The 4,723-nt window shown below is 43.0% G+C and overlaps 1 annotated feature.

The window, feature by feature from the left end:
* Positions 1,734-1,934: a silencer, noted in NCBI's record as "peak6057 fragment used in MPRA reporter construct". NCBI's record gives its function as "represses an SCP1 promoter by STARR-seq MPRAs in K562 erythroleukemia cells {active_cell/tissue: K562}" and the evidence as "EXISTENCE:reporter gene assay evidence [ECO:0000049][PMID:32103011]".

Raw genomic sequence — 4,723 nt, forward strand, 5'->3', positions numbered from 1 at the left:
CTATAACTTTGATGAGATGAGAAGATAATGGCCCCTGGAAGGGTACGAGAGTGCAAACATAAAACACTCATGTCAGTAATAAATCAAATATAGAGAATAAATAGGCCAGGTGTGGTGACTCTTGCCTGTAATTCCAGCACTTTGGGAAGCCGAGGTGGGCAGATCACCTGAGGTCAGGAGTTTGAGACCAGCCTGGCCATGGCAAAACCCGTCTCTACTAAAAATACAAAACTTAGCCAGGTGTGATGGCACACCTGTAATCCGAGCTACTCGGGAGACTGAGGCAGGAGAATCACTTGAACCTGGGAGATGGAGGTTGTAGTGAGCTGCGATCATGCCACTGCACTCCAGCCTGGGCAACAGAGCGGGACTCTGTCTCAAAGATAGATAGATAGATAGATAGATAGATAGATAGATAGATAGATAGATAGATAAAGTAGGAAAAACCCAGAGAGAACAGAGTAATAACTAAAACAAAATAGACTGTTTCCTAAACATCTTTGATAGGTACCATAAAAATGAATGAGATTACATACATGTACAAGGCAGTCTTTGACTTCAAGGATTATACATAGAAGTCAAAATACAATACACTGGAATATAATCCTGTGTATTTGAGGCTCCCTGTGGTAGTTTTAAAGTAGAGATCCCAAGGTACTTCCCCAGACCTACTGAATCAGAGTCTCTGTGACTGGGACTTGGGGAAAGTAATGGGCTGAACTGTGTATTGTGTCCTCCCAAAATTCCCATGTTGAAGCTCTCAACTCTAGTACCTCAGAATGTGACTGTATGTGAACATGGGGGTCTTTAAAGAAGTGATTAAGTTAAAACGAGGCTGTTAGGGTGTGCCTGAATCCAGTCTGACTATTGTCCTTGTCAGAAGAGGAAATATGGACACACAGAGAGACACCAGGGGTGCACATGCCCAGTGGGATGACCATGTGAGGGCAGAGCAAGGTGGCCACCTACAAGCCAAGGAAAGAAGCGTCAGAAGAAACAAAATCTGTTGAAACTTTAATCCTGGATTTCTAGCCTCCAGAACTGTGAGAAAATAAATTTCTGTTGTTTAAGCCATCCAGTCTCTGGTATTATTATGGTGGCCCTACCACATGAATAGATCATGTGTGATATTTGAATATCTACACAGGTAATTCCGACACTCACACTGAGTTGACAACCACTTGGTTAGAGCTAAGATGCAGACCCAGGAGGAAGATAAGGAAAAGGTACTGAAGAATGGATAGAGGAAATGTTGCCTTATAAATATAAAAGAGATGAGCTTTGTGTTGTCTGTGAGGTTCCCCATGCCTGTTACTTTGGTTGTCAGTCCTGAAGCAGCTGGGGTTGTGCTGTCCACATAAAACTCTTCATTTGCCAGGTGGCTCATGCCTGTAATCCCAACACTTTGGGAGGCTGAGGTGGGCGGATCACCTGAGGTCAGGAGTTCGAGACCAGCCTGGCCAACATGGTGAAACCTCGTCTCTACTAAAAATACAAAAATTAGCCAGGCTCGCTGGCAGGTAATCCTGTAATCCCAGCTACTCAGGAGACTGAGGCAGGAGAATCACTTGAACCTGGGAGGCAGAGGTTGCAGTGAGCCGAGACCGCACCATTGCACTCCAGCCTAGGCAACAAGAGCGAGTCTTCATCTAAAAAAAAAAAAAAAAAAAAAAAAAAAAAGCTCTTTATTTACCATCTTAGTGCTGCTTCTGTTGTTTTGAGTTGAATCAGGTCAGTCTTCATCTTGTTCTTGGGAAGTTTTGCCCCCAGTCAATGGGAAGCTAGCACGTTTTCCTATCATGTACTCTTAGTTGCCTCCCTCTCCTGTTATCATGTTGGAAACTGTGCAAGAGACAGAAGCCAAGAACTAAGGCTTTTCTTACCACTAAACAAACTGTTTTTAAACTAGGCAAAATAAGGGCCATTTCTTCGGGGGTGGAGTCATCTCGTTGCTATTTATGGCTTCTTGTTATAAATCCAATTTCTCAAAAAGAGTTCCAGCATTAGCAGATTTTAATGAAGTAGTTATTAAGCATATTTGGCTCTGATGAACGCAAATTTATTTCCTAATGATCTTTGTCTGACTGAAAATAGCAAGTCTTGAATATGTTAGTCTGTGCAGGGCATATTAATGTTTTCTTAATTTTTCCCAGTGATACTGAATCAAAATGGCTTTTGGCAAATCAGTCAACTGAAGCAGTAGGTAAGGACACCGAACTCCTGTCTCTTATTACTTAACATGATATATATTCAACTAAAATTACAGTATCCCATTTTCTTAGTGCTTTGAATGGAAAAGTTCCAGAAAGTAACCATTTGATTTAAAACTCCTAGCACTTTTTAAAACAAGGTATCATCTCCTTTTAAAGGTTAGAGTTCAGGGAGAAACATCAGCAAGATATCAGAGTAGGAGATGCCAGCCTTCATCCTCCCACAAAAAAAATAATAATTAGACAGCTATCCACAAGTGAAAATAGCTCTAGAGAGCTCAGGCATCAATTTGAAAAGCTGCAGCAACACAGCAAAGCCAAAAAAAAAAAAAAAAAAAACCACCCAGAATAATTGCACAAAAGGCATAGGAACAACAGTTTCATTTTGCCTGCACCATCTCATCTCCTGAGGCTGTCACTCCTCAGTGCTAAGAGGGAACTACCCAGTGCACAAGTTGTCCTTACAGGGAAAAGAAGAGCGGAATGAATGACCAACTTCCCCAGTCTTTTGGGGGCATTGCTCTAAGGATCTGCTTTGGTTTCACCTCACCCAGATCTCTGGGGACACCAACATAGCTGAGACATCTGGAGAGGACTAAAAACTTAACATGACATATATTCAACTAAAAAACAAAGAAGGCTGGAGGCTATCACTGTCAGCCATATGGTGGATGCTATTGAGACCGCCCCCATGGCTTGATCCTCAACTCTCACCACTGAGGACCTCAACAGCAGCTCTTGTGGTGTTTCACAGCATCCCCCCACCGCCGCCACCAGCCAGCTCCACCGAGGACCCCCTGGTGTTCAACATTGTGGATCCAAGCAGTCTGCTCCACAGGGGATGCCAAAAGCTTTTGCCTTTGAGATCTACAGATTTTTGTCTTTGCAGACTCCAGCTGTCTGAGCTGCCACCTTTTTCTCCCCTTCCCAGAGCTTTCTTTCCACCATGGGTGCCCCATCCCCACACATAGCATGGCCACTGCATGCACATGCTTGCAGATGGCTTGGGTTCCTGCATCAAGCCATGACATGCAATGTTGTATGTATGCCCACGGGTGATCCTGCAGGCATGTGTGTTTACATAGCTGACACTGACCCCACTGCCAGCTTTCACTACTATTCAGTCACCTGCAGCTAGCCATCAGCTCTGGTCCCCACAGCAGTGTACATGCACCAGCTAGCCCCAACTCCCTCACCACCAGGCACATATCTTCAGCTATTCCTTGCAGTCGAGCTCATGCATACTGGCAGGCCCAACCCCTGCAGCCACACTGGCATGTACAGCTGGTCCCTGCAGCCACACATGTGTAAACTTCAAGCCCCGGTGTCCACCACTGTTAGCCCTTGTCCCTTGCTACTGAAGCCAGAGGCACTGCTGAGGACCCTAACAGCTTTTTTACTCACTGTAGATCCCCTGCAGTTCTTATCAATAAGGGTTTTCTGCTGCTGACGTCATGGACAGCTTTCTGAGCTGATAAGACTCTACACCACCCCCACACAAGACCCAAAGCTACTTTATGCTCCCACATTTGATATCTGGTGACACAGTATGCTCCAGGGCCCCCTCACCCCACTGATAAACATCTTTTCTTACCACAGCCAGTCAATTAAATCTGGAAAAGGTCTTCCAAGGCACAGATACCTGCCTGTTTACCTATATATCAAACCTGCACAAACAAGGATCACAAGGAACCAGGGAAACAAGACACCAACCAAGTAACAAATAATTGTTCTAAAGAAGCTCAGCAGGTTACAAGAGAACATAGATAAATGATGTAATGAAATCAGGAAAACAATATGAGAACAAAATGAGATATTCAAAAAAGAGATAGAAAACAGAAAAAGAGAGAACCAAACAGAAATTTTGAAGCTGAAGAATACAGTGACTGAAATAGAGAACGTAATAGAAAGTTTCAATAGCAGACTCAATCAAGCCAAAGAATCAGAACTTGAAGACATGTCATTTTAAATTATCAAGGCATAAAAGAAAAAGTGAAAAAGAATAAAAGGGAATGAAGAAAGCCTATGAGATTTTTGAGACCCCATCAAAACAGCTAACATTTGCATTACGGAATCTTTAGAAGGAGAAGACAGAGAGGGAAAAGGACAGGAAACTATTTAAAGAAATAATGGCTGAAAATTTTCCAAGTTTGGGAAGAGATATGGAAATCCAAGCACATGAAGCTCAATGGTGGTCCCCAAAGACTTCATTGGCACATATTTTAATCAAACTATCAAAAGCAAAGACAAAAGAGAGAAATTTGAAAGCAACAAGAGAAAAGAGGCTCACCAAACCAAGAAAATTTCTATGAGGCCATCAGCAGAAACCTTGCAGGCCAGGAGAACATGGAATGATATATTCAGAGTGCTGGAAAGAACCCCTGCCAAACAATAATAGTTTACCTGGCAAAGCTATTCTTCATAAATGAAGGATAGATAAAAATTTCCTCAGAGAAACAAAAGTTGAGGGAGCTCGTCATCATTAGACCTGCCTTAAACGAAATGCTAAAGAG

This window comes from Homo sapiens, chromosome 6 (genome assembly GCF_000001405.40).
Source record: "Homo sapiens chromosome 6, GRCh38.p14 Primary Assembly".
NCBI classification, from domain to species: Eukaryota; Metazoa; Chordata; class Mammalia; order Primates; family Hominidae; genus Homo; species Homo sapiens.